Here is a 17,775-nt window from a genome sequence, read left to right on the forward strand (position 1 = left end):
CTCTCTTTCTTTCTTTTTTTTGATGGAGTCTCTCTCTGTCACCCAGGCTGGAGTGCAGTGGTGGGATCTCGGCTCACTGCAGCCTCTGCTTCCTGGGTTCAAGCGATTCTCCTGCCTCAGCCTCCCGAGTAGCTGGGATTACAGGCATGTGCCACAAAGTCTGGCTAATGTTTTTGGTATTTTTATTAGAAACAGGGTTTCACCATGTTGGCCAGGCTGGTCTCGAACTCCTGATCTCAAGTGATCTGCCCGCCTTGGCCTCCCAATGTGCTGGGATTACAGGCGTGAGCCACCTTTATTCTTCTTTTGCTCAGTTTCTCCCTCACCATCTCCCTATCTCCCTTCTCCCCTCCTTCCTTTTTCCCTCCCTTCCTCCTATTCTTCTTCTTTTTATTTTTTTTCTAGGTCTTCCCGAACCCTCCATTATCTTTATAAAATGCCTTTCTATTCAATTTTCTACAATGACAAGCTGGTCAAATAATCTAGAAAGGTCCCCTTCCCACTACCCTTGGAGAAATCTCTCCTGCTACCCTGGCTCCTTCCAGATAAAAGTAGAAAGAGACAGGAGACTTTTATCTCCTTCCACTTTTACCTTCCACTTTTATCTCTAGTTGCGCTCGAAGGCTTCTTATAAAGAGATGTCATTTAGGGTTTTGTTTTTGTTTTTATTTTGGCTGTCGCCCTAGTTTATTCTTCCATTTTATGATGTGGTAGGTGTTTTTTTTGTTGTTAGTTTTTGTTTTTGTTGTTGTTTTTTGTTTTTTTTCTAGAAATCATGTCCTCTTTTTACTTGGCTCTGCCAAAAAGCTTGATTTTACCCCAGTAAAACTGATGTTAAGTTTCTGGCCTCCAGAACTGTAACGGAAGAAATCTCAGTTGTTTTTAAGTCAGCAAGTTTGTGGGAATTTGTTATACAAGAAAGAAACACAATTTGCATTAGAGTTTCTTTTTCTTCCTCATTCTTTGCAATGATTTTTGGAAGTAGAAAGTTATGGAAAGATTATTTATTTTACCTTCTTGAAATTGGAATCCTTTAGTTATCTGATTTAAGATAGTTTTCTTTTTCTTTGCTATAAAGGTTATATCCACCTTCAGAACAATGATGCATTCTCAGTTGTGGAATTTTAATAGAGTCTTCATTCCTCTCCTCGTCTTAGTACGTTATCTCCTGTCATATCATTCTCTCCTCTTCTCCCCTCCCCTCCCCTCCTGTACTCTCCCTGCCCTCCCTTCCTCTCCCTTTCCCTCCCCTCCACCCCCTGCCCTCCTCTCCCCTCTCCTCCCCTCGTCTCCCTTCCTCTCCCTTCCTCTTTTCTCCTTTTCCTTTCCCAGTAATCCAGCAGTTGCCTACTGAGTGCTAGATGTTGTGACAGGCTTTGGAAATACTGAAACCAATAAAGCAGTTTGATGCCTCCATGAGGTCACCATCTATTGGTATAGAGGAGGGACAAAAGTAACATTTGTTTCGTGCAAGACATAAAGCCAAAAGCAGAAATAAAATCAACAACTAAAATACTGTACTAAATACAAAATCAGGCCAGGAGCAGTGGCTCATGCCTGTAACCCCAGCACTTTGGGAGGCCGAGGCAGGCGGATCACGACGACAGGAGTTTAAGACCAGCCTTGCCAAGATGGCGAAATGCTGTCTCTACTAAAAATAGAAAAATTAGCCGGGCATGGTGGTGGGTGCCTGTAATCCCAGCTACTCGGGAGGCTGAGGCTGGAGAATCGCTTGAACCCAGGCGGTAGAGGTTTCAGTGAGCCGAGATCGCACCACTGCACTCCAGCCTGGGTGACAGAATGAGACTCTGTCTCAAAAAAAAAAAAAAAAAAAAAAAAAAAAAAAAAAAAAAAAAAAAAAAAAAGAAAGGAAGAAAAGAAAAGAAAAGAAAGAGAAAAAGAAAAACAATAAAAAACCCAAAAAACTAAATTAGATACATGAACAAAATATTGTGACCTCACATAACATTTAGCAAATCGCTCTGCTTGGCAGAGACTGGGATAATTTATTGAAGAGTGCTTGTGCAGCATCTTAGGAGATGAATTAGCATTTTAGAAAGAACTAAATGGGAGAAAGGCATTTTATGGCAAGGAACTGGCTCTGTGGAAGGCACACACATATTAAGGAGCACACGTTTCTTGAGCATGGCCAGATATTTAATGTGCCCAGAACATAGATTAAGAGTGGTAGGAGTGTGGGCTAATGAGACTATAAAGGTCAAATTATGATGAATATTATTATTATTATTATTATTATTTTTGCTGTGTTAAAAGTTTAGGTTTTTATTATTTTGGAAATGAGGGAAACTAAAGGTGTTGAGCAGAAAAATGGCATGTATTTTAGGAAGAAAATTCTGGCAATATTTTGATTATTGAGCTGCTGGAGAGAGGCTGGAAAACCAGGGAAGGGGCTTTGTAAGAAACCAGGTGAGCAGTAGATGACAATTACCTGAGTCAAAACAGTAGAGGCACTGGGACAAGATCAGAGAATGGAATCAAGAGATATTTCTGAAACCAAATTGGCAGAGGGATGAAATTTCTACCTTTTAGTGAAAGACAGTAAGTGCAATGCTAGCAGTCACAGAGAGCAACTGGATGCCAGGGGAGAGGGACTCAACTGGGTCTGGGCAGAAGCAGAGGAGGTGACATCTAAGATAAGTCTTAAAAGAGAGAAGAAACAAGCTACATGAAAAAGAAGAGAAGCCAGAAAAAGGAGAGAAAGCAGATTGTGGCTGCAGGGCTCTCCAAACACCAAAGACTCTCTAGTAAAAGGCATGGCCATGACAAACAGAGTGGCTGCTGGCTTTGCTTTAATTAGCATATAATTATTGGTGGAGAAAGTCTGGTGGGAGGTAAGGTGGGAAGGAACCAGTCACTGGAGGCTTCTGGTTAATGTCCCCATCCTTTCTTTCCCTAAACATCACTCTTACCCTGTGTAGCTGGGACTACAGGTGTGCACTATCACACCTTTGTAACTTTATTTTTTTGTAGAGATAGGATGTCACTATTGCCCAGGCTAGTCTTGAACTCCTGGGCTCAGGCAATCCTCTCTCCTCAGTGTCCCAAATTGCTGGTATTTCAGGTGTGAGCCACGTGCCCAGCCCCTTCTTAAATGTATACCAGTCTTTAGGCCTAAAACAATCTTTTATCAACTGCTAAGACTTCCTTCTTTTAAAGATATGATCAGAGCTTTTGTCTTTCACAGCAGGCATCCTAGTTTCATGTTTTCTTGGGAAATTTGTATAGATTCACACTCACTACAAATGTTATTTTCAGCTGTTTTATAGATGTATAATGCACCATTTATTCATTCAGTACATATTTAGCAAGTAAAAGGGAACAACCAAGATTCATTCTATGCCTTCTTTTGTTGGAATTCAAGCACACTAACAATGTGCTCTCTTGTTGGACAAGCATGAAAGAAAAAGATACCCTCCTTGTCAGGTCTTCATAGTTCTCTGTGCTTACAAGAATCCTGCAACATTTGACGATTTCTTCTCAAGCTTTCCTTCCTGAAAGGAAAAAGGGCAAGAAAAGAATAAACTTTGTAACATGTAATCTGTATAATATATTCCAAAATGCTTTAGCTCAGATATTTTGGATACCTTTCTGATCACATGCTATAGTTAGAATCAATTTTCTTTCTTAAAAGCTTGAAAGTTAATTAATTGAGCTATGACTTGGGGACAAAATGAAAACAATTCCCCCATCCAATTCAACAGAAAGTGGGATCTGTAAAAATAGCTCTTCTTGAAAATTTTAGAACTAGAATCATAGAACTTTATTTGCTTTTATATTCATTATCCCATAATATCCTCTTATAAATGGAAGTTTAGTTCTGATCATTTGGATATTAGCTCAGGGAGCTCAGGAAAGTAGTATGCTGCCGTTGATTAACTCTTCAGGATGCTCTAACTCAACAGGCAAAGTTTCAGTAACAGCATAGGCACCCACAGTTTTAGGTACTAGTGATTTAGGGCCAGTTGTTTAAGAGTATTAACTCAAATTCGGCAGCCCTGCTCCTGAGAGGCTTGCCTTCTTTGCCAACATCCTCTGATTCAGAATATCCTAATCTAAAGCCTGAAGACAGTCATAAGGAGGTGAATACGATCTTTACATGTACTATATTTTATTTTTGTAGAAGTTCCAGAGATAGTATTTTACCCATATACAAATTAGTGTCTTGGTATGGTAAGGATTTTTGGCACCAAAATCTCTAAGGGGATTTTTAGAACTAAGGAGGGCTAAAGGGAAAGATAATTTGAATAGGTTGGCCTTTCCACACTCCTTGAGTTGTGGCATGTGACATGCTTTTCACTATCTGCTGAAGGAAGCCCTGGTTTATCTCAGAAACATTCTTGTATAAGTGCCAAATACAGTCTTGTTTCTTGTTCTTGACTCTGCCACTCCATGTGGCTGTAATATGCTGGAGCACATTTGCCTAATGCCTCCGGTATCTTTTCCTTGGTTAAAATTGTTATTAATTCCACACTATCTTCCTAGGTCTGTCTCTGGGGCCCAAGCAGATTTGGTCACCCAACAGCTAGAGCAACCACTTGACTGGGTGAACTCTATTGGCAATGAGGCATATGGGGGCCAGGCAGTATCATCCACGATAGATGAAAGACAATCTGGGTATCAGGACCCCAGTTAAGCCCAGGCCTCACACACAAACGATCCTCCCTTGAGGAGCTCAATAGTTGCCCCTCAAATAGTTTCCCATAGGATTAGACTTCAGCTTTGACCTGTCACTATTGTAGACATGCTACCTGTGCTTACTTACTTACATTAATGTAGCAACACCAGTGAACACAAGAATCAATTATACATGTGCATTTCATAACACCCCTCCAGGAGCCATTCTTCCTCTTCCTTCCCAGCTCCCATTCTAATCATTTATTCATTTTTTAAAATTATGGGAGATCATCTAATATTCTCTCTCTCTCTCACCTTCATATTTACTTTCTTTATTTGTTTTAGTGGGTTTTTTTGTTGTTGTTGTTGTTTTAACAAGAGCTTTGAAAGGCAACACCCAGGCAGTATGCTTTATAGATTTATCAAAACAAAACTTGTTGAACTGGGTGCTCTTGACCACCCTGCTCTCTGATTCTCAACATGAGATTTCACCTGCACATTCTGATACCTTGCTGAGCTTTCACTTTTCATTAATGACCTAATTGTATAGTTTTCTCTGTGTTGGCATGCTTGTTCTCTTCCCTTTCCCTTTCTCCTTCCTTCCTCCTTTCCTTCTTTCCTTTCTTTCTTTCTTGCTTCCTTCCTTCCCTCCTTCCTTCTCTTTCTGCCTTTCTCTCTCCCTTTCTTTCTTTCTTCTTTTTCTTTCTTTCTTTTCTCTCTCTTTTTTTTTTAAAGCAACCTCACTCAACTCCCAGTTGCTCACCCATTTGGCTACATGTATCCTCGGCTGCAGTAAGATACTTTCTTGCTTCCCAATCCTTTGGGATCTGTACAGATAGGGAGAGTCTCAGACATGAGTTATTTTAGATTGTCTGAGAAGATCTAATTAAGGGTCAAAGTAGTAGATGTTGTGGGAGGGCATTTGTCACTGGATGAGATGACTGTCACCATATGCTCTCGAAGGAGAAAACAAAGGCTATAGACAGAGATGAACATGATTTTATAGATTTATTTTTAAAATCTTCCTGTGAATCTAAGCAACAGAGCAGAAGCAGTGAAATTGAAGGGAAGGGGGAAATTTCCATTCCTTAAAAAAGAAGAATCATTTCAAATTCTAACTAGATTTGGGAAAGTAAAATATTTGAAAAAATTAAGGGCTTTAAGATGTGTGATAAAGAGAATGCTGAAATTAATGATACAGCAAAGTTGGAATGTCTGCCTCTCCTTTGTTTAATGTTTTTCTTTTATTAAAAAAGATACTTATATGTTTTTTTAATTTAGAAAATATCAGAAAGTAAATCCAATATTCTACTATACAGAGATGATAGTTACTGTCAACATTTTGATACCTGATCTTTTAACTATATTGAAAAATACTCGTCTTACAAAATTGGAATCATACATTATCTGCAGTTTGTTTCTTTCCCCCTGCTTTTGCTTACCTAAAGTTTACATCTCATGACTCTTGAAAATACCATTTTTAACCAATATCTAATATATCATAAGAATTGATATACTCTATTTTCAGTTTTCCTGGCAGTTATAAACAATTTTGTACAAAAATGGTGCACACATTACACATACCCCTATCTCACTAATGAATTTCTTACAAAAGGGCCCTCAAAGTATCACTGAGAATCGTGCCCCATCTTAGAGCCTTTCACTGGTACGTCCCTCTCCACAAGTGCTTTTCTCCCATATATTACGTTAGACTCCCATATTACACTCAGATTATTGCTGAAATGTTACCACACCAGAAAGACATTTCCCTGAACCCGTATGTAAAATGTCGTATCTGCTGCCTCCGAAGTTATTTGTCTTATCCTGCGTTATTTTTGTCTTAACGTTCAGTAGTACTTAATATGTAATGTTTATTTGTCTACTTGTTATCTCTACCTCATAGAATCGAAGATAAACGAGGCAGAAATTTTGTTTTGTTAAATGCTTTATTCCTAGCATCTGAAACAGTGCCTGAGACATAGTACGTGATCAATAAATACTTATTTGTTCAACAAATAAATACATAAAAACAAAAAGTACAAAACTTTTGGTACATATAAATAAGTTGCCTTCCAGAAAGCCTGTTTTAATTTGTATACTCATATGTAATGTATGACGATACTCATTTTACAACAGAATAACCCACTTTGAATATTAGTTTTTAAATGATAAAAAAATAAAAATGTACACTATATATCAATGTTGCTTCAGGTTTTTTTGTTTTGTTTTGTTTTTTGTTTTTTTTTTGAGATGCAGTCTTGCACTGTCGCCTGGGCTGGAGTGCAGTGGGGCGATCTCGGCTCACTGCTACCTCTGCCTCTCGGGTTTAAGCAGTTCTCCTGCCCACAGCCTCTCGAGTAGCTGGGATTACAGGTGCCTGCCACCACGCCCAGCTAATTTTTTTGTATTTTTAGTAGAGACGGGTTTCACTATGTTGGCCAGGCTGGTCTCGATCTCCTGACCTTGTGATCTGCCCGCCTCGGCCTCCCAAAGTGCTGGGATTACAGGCATGAGCCACCGCTCATCTCTTCCTCTTCTTTATCCATTCTTTTTAAATTAAAGTGTTTGCTCCTTTTTTTCCTTTAAAATAATGTGCAAGAGCTGTTATGCATTAATAATGTTGAAGTTATTCACATTTTTATAGACATGTTTCTCTCTTTCATAATATCATTTTTAAGTGATATCGTAATATCATTTTTATTTTAGATTCGGGGAGTACACGTGCAGGTTTATTACATGGGTATAGTGTAGCATGCTGAGTTTTGTGTATGAATGATCCTGTCACCCAGGTAGTGAGTATAGTACCCAATACGTTTAGCCCTTTCCTCCCTCCCTCTCTTCCCCCGTCTAGTGACCCCCCGGGTCTATTGTTTCCATCTTTATGTCCATGGGTACCTGGTCTTTAGCTCCCACTTATAAATGAGGATATACAGAATTTGGTTTTCTGTTCCTGCACTAATTCGCTGAGGATAGTGGCCTCCAGCTGCATCTATGTTGCTGCAAAGGACATGATTTTATTATTTTTCATGACTGTGTAGTATTCCACGGTATGTATGTACCATATTTTCTTAATCCAGTCCACCACTGATGGGTATCTAGGTTGATTCCATGTCTTTGTTATTATGAATAGTGCTGTGATGAACACACAAGTGCCTGTGTCTTTTTGGGTAGAACACAGAATATACTTTTAAGTTTTCCTTATGTTTTGTGACATTTTAGATTTAAAAACATGTGAAATCAAATATTAGAAGATTTCTTCCAGCAAGCTTACCTATATTGTTGCTACAGATTTCAAACACATCTCTTATTTTTTAAAGTTTGTCATTGATTTCACTGTTGTAATTTTCCAGTGTCATTTATCATCCTTACTTCATTTTTTTTTAAATCCATTATGGTTTCTTTCTTTTCTTTTTTTTATTTTTAAGTGTATACCTCCGTTTCATTTTCTTCCTTTTATTTTAAGCCATTTCCTCCTTCTTGTCCTGTATGATAGGGAACATGGCTTTGTGAATTTTATTTAAAATCCCTGTTTTCACCTGTTTTAATAGTAGTATATTTACTTATTGCTCTCCTTTTAAAAATGTTCTTATCCCATTTTCTCTGTAGTATTTGTGTATAGGCTCCACCTTTATATTTGTTTTTTTATTGGCTCAACACTCTGGATTAGCTTAGATCTATCCAATGTCATGTTTACAACCAGATAACTCCTGTTGTTTTCTTACTATTCACTTCTTGCTGGTTAAATCCCATTCATGCTGATTAAATCCACTTCATGTTGCTCCAGCTGGGTGACACGTTGGTGTGTGGACCTCCCAGCAGCTAGAGACCAGGACACATCTATGCAATCTGACTTTGCTCTCAATAGTAAGTAGGTCTCTTATGTCCCAAACCTTGTTATATCACAAGGATGAAAAGCTACTATTCCTAGTACAGTAAGTTCATTTCTTCACCATCTTCCTCTCTCTCCTACTGTATAACTCATTTTAACTAATTTTGGGGGGATGTAATGTGTTACATGCCAGCCCTCCCTGCCCCGTCCTCCCCCAACTCCACCTCGCTGCAACTTTCTGTTTTTGGGTACTAATGCCAAAATAGGAAGAGATAGTGATATAAGGACACCGCACTATGTACCCTAAGAACCAGCACCTTCTATTGATACCTGATGTAATTATGGCAGTCCAAGTTTTGGTGGAACAGGCCATAAATATGACTGCAGTTAATCAAGAATTGTTAAAAATACCTTCTTAATTTTCAGATGGATAGGACTAATCTTTCTACAATGCAGACCACCTGTTTTTCTTAGCCCAACATCATTAGCTTTAGAAGAATGGTAAAGATATTACCGCTATTAATCTTAGTTTTTAGAATTGTTGAGAGATGTACTTTTCAGTTTAAGTATTTTAACAAAAAGTTAGCTGAGACCACCTTGTGATGGTGGACTGCTATCCAGATGTCATGGAAAACTAAAATTTTTATGGCAATATTTTTCAGGTCTTTGATTTTAGTTCAACTCTTCCTTCATCCCAAAATGACTATCTTCCAAGACATTCCAAATGATTGGACAAATGCATAGATGCATAATAGGATTAGAGTAGAAAATATCAACATGACATAATAAGTAGCAAGTATTTTCTTTTATTATGTGATGTTTTGAAATTATGTCTTTGTAACTTCATATATTATTATTATGTCATACCATTTTGAATGGCCTTTTATTTAATTAAAATATAATTTTAATTATTTTCATATTTATTCTAACTTAGCATCTCTAAATACACATCATAGGGTTTTAGTGGTAGAATTATCTAAGCTATTGAGATGTTTTTCAAGTTAGATGAACTTAGTGAAAAATGTTCTGCAATGTTTGATAAAATCACCACGGCATCTAGAGCAGTGGACAATATCCCCGTGAAATGATGGTGGAAACCGACCAACTTTTTTCAATAGCATCCTGGTAGTGATCTTTTCAGTCACTTTTAAAATGGGATTTTTTTCTGTAACCCGTATGTAATTCAGAATGTCTGTGGTTGTTTTAGTCAACTGGCCATTAAAAAAAAATACATTATGGACTGTGAACTCACCAAGGCCCTTTCAAGTGCTGATGTATGTTTTATGTTTTATGTAGGTTATTAGTGACCTTTTTTGCACTTTTATCAGAAAGTCCTTTGTTTTGTGCATGTAGCTCTGTCAGAATAGAGGCCAGATCTTCAGGTGTTTAATTGCAGACTTCTAATGCATAAGACCTGCTGGCCTTGTTGACTTTTAGAAGTTATTTGTTAGTCTCAAATGAAAGAAACAAGAAAAAAAAAAGCTTGCTCTTTTTATAACAGAGTAAGATGAAACATGCAATGATAGGGTGGTGCTGAGTTGTAGAAATTTCTAAAAACTAGGTATTCCTCAAACAGTAATTAGAATTTTTGATTTTCTACATATCTATTGGCTAAAGAGCCAAAAATGGTTTTCAATAATGCCTGTTTTCAATATATAAAACGTCCATAACAGAATCACTAAAAGACATCAAATTATTATTATTTAAAATTTATTGAGAGGCAATGTCAATCTGTTTTTTCAAACCTATCAGTGACTCTCTATTGTATATTGGAGAAAGTAGAAACTCTTAATTTCTGCCCTAACCCCCACCCATAACTGATTTTAACACTCCTATTACCACATTATTTGTTACTGCAGTTTTTAAAATTGACTCTATCCATCAGACAGTATTATTTGGCCGCTGTTTTTTTACACCTGTCTTATTTATTCTTGATTTTTTTTTTTTGGTTTGTCTGTTTTATTTATGTCACTGTCCACTTTGCAGACAATTTAGTTGGCCAGGTATCCATGAGGAATATTGCCATTCCTGCACTGTGCTGAGTCAGACATGCCTTGTGGCATCATCAAGTAACAAGGTTGAGAAAACGTGGGTGTGGCAAATCCATTTCTGAGTAACAGCCTTTTTGGAGGGAAGAGATTGGCTAATCCAATCAGTATCAAAGCCTGTGCTTCTTAATTGGGTTGTATTATTCAAAAGCATGGATTTAATTTGAAATAAAATTGCCTGATGTTTCTGTATCATTGATTTATTGATGGTGGCGGCTACTATTTTTTAGTGTTTTCAAGGAATATGAAAACTTACAGTATGAAATTTACACAAATCTGTAGTTTTAAAATATTACCTTTTCCTTTAGTGTTTCTCCTATTTTCCGTTAGTTTGAGTTCTCATTTTAAAAAAATGTTAAAGAGAAAAAACATTTGTCTGACATAGAGCTCAAAAGGAAATTCTCATTAAAACAACTATGAGAATGAGAGAAATCATGATACTAAGATAGTATGTAATCTTTAGAGTTTAAAATAGTTGTTCCTAGCCCCTAAAGTGATATTATTTTGACTTCCTTAAGCATAGAGAACTTTGTTTACAGTAGTTCTACTCTGCAGTTAGGTGTAATAAACCAGCATTCTTTACAAAACTCAAATGAGACCTTGGAACCTGAGCTATATGAGTAACACATATATGATCCTGTGATCTATATGATATATTATTTGTCATTTCTCTATTCCCAGCTTGAAATTTAATATAAAAAAAAGTTTCACTGCTTCATTCTAAATCCTGTTTGATCCAACATGGAAAACATTGTTTTAGATTTCTTAATGTAAAAAAAAAAAAAATATATTTGACTGGATTAGATAGTAGTTACTGCAAAAAGTTACTGCAAAAAAAAAAAAAAAAACTCGGAGTTTACCTTTAGTCACATCTTCAGTACATTTTCTATTAAAGTATTTCTAGATTTTAGTGTCTGCTTGGTTTTGGTTATCTAAGCTGTAATAAGTAGCCTTGGGACCCCTGAAGGCACGCCCCACACACTTATGCTGTGTGACCTAAGGTCACAAGTAATGGCTGCAAGCTAATTGATTGAGAAAGGGTTGTCTGGCGGGGCCTCTTTGCGTCCTCCCTTTACATTCCTAAGTTCTGTGAAAGAGGCACTAGTAGCTCAGGCTAGCAAGGAAGGAAAAAAGAGGAAGTTTCTCTCTGCGTTCTGATTACACTCTGAATTCCCTTGTAGTGAGCTTACTTCTCTCCACCCACTTCTTACCAAGAACTCCTTAACTTGAGGGTGAACAACTTAAAGCTTGATCCTACAGTTACCTGAAAAGTGATTTGAGTATTCATTGAACTGAAAGAACAAATCGCCTACTTCAGGCGGTGGCAAGCGTATGGAAATTATATTAGAACTTCAGCAAAGTGCACAGCTGCATAATAGAGAAGCCGGCACTCAGATTGACAGGCAAATAAGCCAGCTTGTGGAAGGGGCCTCTGGGTGGCAGCTCTGGGCTTTTGGGTGTTGGACAACCATAGGCAAAACTGAAATGGAACAGGGGCAGAAAATAGCACACTTTTACTCTACGCAACTGTTGCTTTTTCATGGTGAGTGCAGATTTAAGATATTATATTTAAAATATACTTTCTATGTTGTAAAACAAGTTAAGAAATCTGTTGTGCTTTGAGGGAAATTATAGCAAAAGCATTTCTTAGAAGTTCTTAGACGATGTGGTTTTGTTTCTGCTTGATTTCACACTAACCTTGGTGATGCAAACAGAAAAATACAATATTTGTATTGTCTCGTGTGTCCTTTTTCTGAAAATTGTCCTTTGGTTTAAATCATGCTTCTCTTCAACTTGAATCAGCATTGTTTTAGGCAAATCATGTGTGGGATAGATGATGAAGGAACAACGGTGTGACAGAATATATGTAAACATTTCATTTAGTTCGACTTTGTGTCACTTCTCCACGGCTTCATGTTTTGCCGCCTTATCTTAGGAATATATAGCGCAGTCTGCATGAAAAGAGCTTTGTGTGAGAATTCCTGGCCAGTTGAAGGGTCAGGGCCTGTGCGTTATCTGACTGCCAGCAAGATCACTGGTGTGTCCTCTTATTTTTAACTTAAAATAGGAAAAAAAAAAGTGCATCTTTACATATTAAAAAGTAAGTGTGTTTGATTTCAACAGTTCCCTTCTTGTAGTATGTGGATGTTATTCCTGGCAAAGAATTGTTTAAATTTCTTTTAGGAAGCGGCATGCAAACTTCTTTTGTTTCTTTTTGTCTTGTTTGCTCATATTTCATTGAAACTTTACACACTTTAAAAAAATTTGAAATGGTACCAAGTAGTTTTTATTTTGGTGCAAATATTTTGAAAGTTGCTAGGCTTATGTTTTCTGGAGAACAATGTCTCAGAGTGTAAATTTTGTTTAACTCCCCGTGTAGTCATACTTATAACTCTACTTTAAATGTGCTTCTTATTTTAAAAATATCAGAGCCTATAGAGACTATTCCTAGAAATGTTAATAGAAATGTTTTTCTTTGGCAAAAATTGCAGATTCAGTTTTACAATTTATTAAGTGCCAAGATATCATTGCTGTTGTTGACTTTGCTAAAAAAGCAATTTTATTAACAAGGTGACTGCATTAGATGTTACCAACTGAGACGAAGTGAAACATGTGCTTTCACCCTGTTGATCTGATGAAATATAGAGGTCTGTGTGGTTACTTCGTGCGTCACATTCATTTAAACTTTTTAAAGAGCAGCTGCGTAATACAAATTTTGTATACTCACTTAAAAAATAAAATTTACTAGAGTAGGCTCTTGTTTTTGGAGACTTATACATTCTGTTTGCTAAAGTAAACTAAGAAACTGAAAAAATATATTGGAGTTAGAAGCTCCAAAACTCTTCAAAGGGAAGAAAGCTTTTAAGAAAAAAATGAATGTGCTTTCAGTTATAAGGCAATTTTGAAGCATTACTTAGCTCTCTTTTGCAAAGATTTAAGGAAAAATCAACTGTTGTGGAACTAAGTAATAGGCTTGCCTTTATACAAAAATTATGTATAAAAAGAATAATTATTTTCCGAACTGTTTCTATGATTTGATACAAGCTTCCTTCAACAATTGCAAAATGTGACTGACAAATCCTTTTCTAAGAGAACAAGTTCATTATGCTCTCGTCACCTGTTACATTCATTCTCCCTTGCCCACATACACAGTTCCTAGCTGTTTATTAGTGCTGCAGGAAAGTGAAAATATTTTTTTTGAAAGAAAATGTCAAAGATTTTATTTGCATGAATCTTTTGAGCTTTAAAAAATTGTGGTCTTATCATAATTGCCCAAAGTGTTTTGTTAATAAGGTCTTTTGTTATTATCTTAATATGAATAGTCAGGAAAGGACATATAAATCATTTTGGATTTTCTTTCACTATATCTCAAGTAAAGTTAAGGTGTGGCTGAGGGTTTTTAAAAGGCCAAGAGATTAGACCTTTGAAAGTTTATCCTTTTTGTATAAAGATGTTTTAAAAAATGTTTACCACTTACCTATTCCCTCCAAATGAATGTAAAGACCAAAAATTAAAGGGAACTTTATTATTTTACTTGGTTATAAAGTCTAACCACAAGGCAGGAAGTTACTAGGCTTTGGAGAGACGCTACAAAAGAATGAGCTTCCCTCTAATGAAAGTACATAAATCGTGAAAAACTAAAGACCTACTTCTTAGTTCTCCTAACATTTAATCTTAAACTAGTAACGCCTGTCTTTTCTTTGTATATTTACTTATTGATTTGCTGCTGAGACAGAGGCATCTTTTAAAAACTGAAGTCAACCACATAATTTTAATACCATGATTTTAAGAAGGTGTATATTTTCTTATGTAAAGCTAGTCTTCCATAGATGTTTAGATTACGTATTTGATTACTAGGAAACAGTGGCTATATGGTCACAGATTAATATATGCTGATCTCTCTTATCTATATATAAAACATATATTCACATACAAACATAAACACATATCTTGTGCTTAGGCCTCTAACATCTTAAGGCAATGTCTTTTCCTCCTAGTTATGCACTTAGTTTTGAAGACATGTGTAGATGAAATAAAACGAAAGAGTCTTCTGACAAGTGTTCTGAATAAAACAAGAAAAAAAAATGCTTCACCAATGGTGTGAAGCGTAACACCAAGCGCTTGTTACAGAATATATCACTAGTGGGTTTGTTGCTTTTCTTATGTATTTATTACCATATTGATGATTACTTCTCCTTTGCCTATAGACCAGGTTGGTGGTGTGTGTGTGTGTGTGTGTGTGTGTGTGTGTGCACTTATGAGCTCACATAGGGATGAGAGAGTAGCCTGGACATGTGCCAGGGTTATGACACTCTTTGATTTACTTCTTCAGTTCTCTTGGTCACTAAATTTCAGGCTCTTCTGTACCCTTGTAGCAGTTGACAGCTGATACAGTGAAATCGTGCCTTCTCTTTAAGAGTACATATTATATCAGCTGCATTCTTTCAAATGGATTGAACAATTTATGTTAAAGATGATTTATTCCATCAAAATATAGAAAATAATCTATAGGACTAGATCCTATCATCCCAGACAAATTATGGGTCCTTAAAGACTTTCCTAGAGAGTAGCAGTATAGTTTTATTCTTCTTCTTACTGGGTAGAGAGCATAGAGTTTGTTCATCTTTCTAGACACTTTGATCTTCCTGAAATTATTTCCACAATTTTGATCCCACAAAGCACAAATATTGCTTTTTTTTTTTTTTTTTTTTTTTTTGACAGAGTCTTGCTCTGTTGCCAAGGCTGGAGTGCAGTGGCGGGATCTCGGCTCACTGCAACCTCCCCCTCCCGGGTTCAAATGATTCTTCTGCTTCAGCCTCCTAAGTAGCTGGGACTGCAGGCACCCACCACCATGCCCGGCTAATTTTTTTTTATTATTATTTTTAGTAGAGACGGGGTTTCACCATGTTAGCCAGGATGGTCTTGATCTCATGACCTTGTGATCCGCCTACCTTGGCCTCTCAAAGTGCTGGGATTACAGGCATGAGCCACAGTGCCTGGCACTGCTTCTTTTAACATTAGCTCTAATCTCTTTTTCTGGAACTCCATAATAGATATATGTTAAAGTTTCATAATATACATATTTCTTAAATTCTCTTTCACACTATTTTATATATCTATCTGTGCTGCACTTTTGGTGAATTACTGAGACATCTTCCCATTTACTAATTCTTTTTTTGACTATGTCCACTCCAGAATTTATTTTTTTGACAATGTTTTTCTTTTCTGGAAATTTTAATTGATTCTCATCGCCACTTCAAATGTTTTATTTCTACTTACTTTGTTACACATTGTATTGATGTTATTTCTTGTCTCTTCCAAAATCCTAGCATGCTTATTTTGAAGTTATTCTGAAACCGCTCTATTATTTTCATGTCTTCTGGAATAACTTCACTGAATGTTGTTTTTAAAATTTTGCTGGTGCCTTTTTATATCATTCTCTCATGGCTTAGAATTTTGGTTTTCAGGCTTAACTGGAATGAGAAGGATTTAAAAATTCTCTCTCTCTCTCTCATTGCTAGCCCTTCTGCACCATTCCTATTGTCTTAGTGTTGGCTCTGTACCCTCTCGTTTCCCAGTCTATAATCTCTGCTAATGGGGATATCAAAAACCTAGTCACTAAATCAAAGAGCAGTCTGTCCCAGGATGTGACTGTGAGATTATGGCTGCTTGCTTTGGCCTCCCCAAGAAAGCAGCTCTATGCAAGCCGTGGCTCCAGGAAAAGGGAGGTGTTAGTCAGTTGTTCGGCTTCCTCTTGTCTTACCTTCAGGTTTTAATCAGTAAGCTTGGCACTGATTATTACTCCCTGTGGGACACATGTGGCATCCAGTTACTTTGCAGATACAAGGATTGGCTTGCTTCTCATTCTAGACACCATCTGGTGCAGTGTACCTCACTTTGTGTTTATAGTTTATTTCTGGTATGTTTATCTTGTTTTTGACTATTACTTTTCTTTTATATCACCTCTTTTAAAACTTATCTATTATTGTTACATGTTGGAAGCAAAGGCACGGGGCTCAAACCATATTATTGCAATGCCATCTTGACAAGAGTTTTCAAAGCCGTGGGCTTTGGAATCAGAAAACTTGGTTTCAAATTCTGACTCACTTATGATCTATGTGTTACCATAAGCAAAGTCTTTAATCTATTATAAACCTCCTTTTCCCTTGCAAATATTGATAGTAATGCCTACTTCGTATGACTGTTGTAAGCATTGAATGTGAAAAGATGTGGAAAGTAGTTAGGCCTGTGCTTAAACATTCTGTGCGTGCAAATTCTGGAGGTGGAGAAAAAGCAATTAAAACCAAAACAAAACTAGATGTTACTGATTATGTAATTAACAAATGGTAATTGGAGTATCAAATAGACTTGCTTCTTGTATTCTGAGTGAAAGTAACACTATCATTTTTGATATCTAAAGCACATTTCTAAAGATGACTGCTGACTGCATGAGTTTCCACAGGTGGATCAAAGCTCTGTTACACTATCCACCTACACCATTCACCTAATTCAGAGAATCTTAATAAAATGAAAAGCATTCTTCAGAATGACCCTTTAGGTATGGTTCTCTAAATCCATGTCACTTAAGACAGATGGAAAAGAAGAGAGAAGTGGCATGAGAACATGCTTGTGGCTTGATGAATAGTAATATATATACCACCCAGGTTGGGTTTCTGTAATAGTGAAAATGGGGAGGAGGGTGGTGATCTTTTGTAAGTGTTTCAGACAGTCTTGTTTTGTTGCTTTGTAGCTACTTTGTAATATTGTCTCTTTTAAAAACATATATTTTGATGACCTAGCATTCAAATTTATAGCATCAGCAAAGGGTCGGTTTAGTTGAGTGGGAAATGAAATTCTGAAAACAAAAAGTTTTAAAAATAAGAAAGATGGGGATGAAGATAAAGAAGCAGTAGTAGCAACTTGGAATTTGTCTTAGAATTTGAAAATAGAAACAGGTTTCTAAGAATCAGTCTTAGTCCATTTTCTGTTGCTATAACATGATACCACAGGCTGGGATAAATTATAAACCATAGATATTTATATGGCTCATGGTTCTGGAGGCTGGGAATTCCAAGAGAATGGCATTGGTGGAAGCAAGAATGTGAGACAGATGACAGCAGAGAGCCCGAGGGGTAGAGTCCCTTTTTTAAAAAACTTTTTTCTATTTTAAGTTCTGGGATACATATGCAGGAAGTGTAGGTTTTTTAACATAGGTAAACATGTAACATGGTGGTTTGCTGCACCTGTCGACCCATAACCTAG

The 17,775-nt window shown here is 36.7% G+C and overlaps 1 long non-coding RNA gene across 9 annotated transcripts in view, besides 1 other annotated feature; it reads left to right on the forward strand.

The window, feature by feature from the left end:
• The window catches only part of MIR99AHG (mir-99a-let-7c cluster host gene), a 561,240-nt gene that overhangs the window by 112,091 nt on the left and 431,374 nt on the right, over window positions 1-17,775 (forward strand). For 2 of the 9 annotated variants that reach the window (NR_027791.3, NR_136543.1), the window contains exon 1: window positions 11,801-12,055. The exons of the other annotated variants lie outside the window; for them this stretch is intronic. This is a non-coding gene — a long non-coding RNA (mir-99a-let-7c cluster host gene). Of the gene's footprint in view, window positions 1-11,800; window positions 12,056-17,775 lie in introns of those variants that run through there. 9 annotated transcript variants of the gene reach the window in all.
• Window positions 11,258-12,018: an enhancer, noted in NCBI's record as "H3K27ac hESC enhancer chr21:17566156-17566916 (GRCh37/hg19 assembly coordinates)". NCBI's record gives its function as "activates a minimal SCP1, AML or CMV promoter by ChIP-STARR-seq in naive and primed H9 embryonic stem cells {active_cell/tissue: H9 hESC(naive and primed)}" and the evidence as "EXISTENCE:reporter gene assay evidence [ECO:0000049][PMID:30033119]".

This window comes from Homo sapiens, chromosome 21, assembly GCF_000001405.40.
Source record: "Homo sapiens chromosome 21, GRCh38.p14 Primary Assembly".
NCBI lineage: Eukaryota > Metazoa > Chordata > Mammalia > Primates > Hominidae > Homo > Homo sapiens.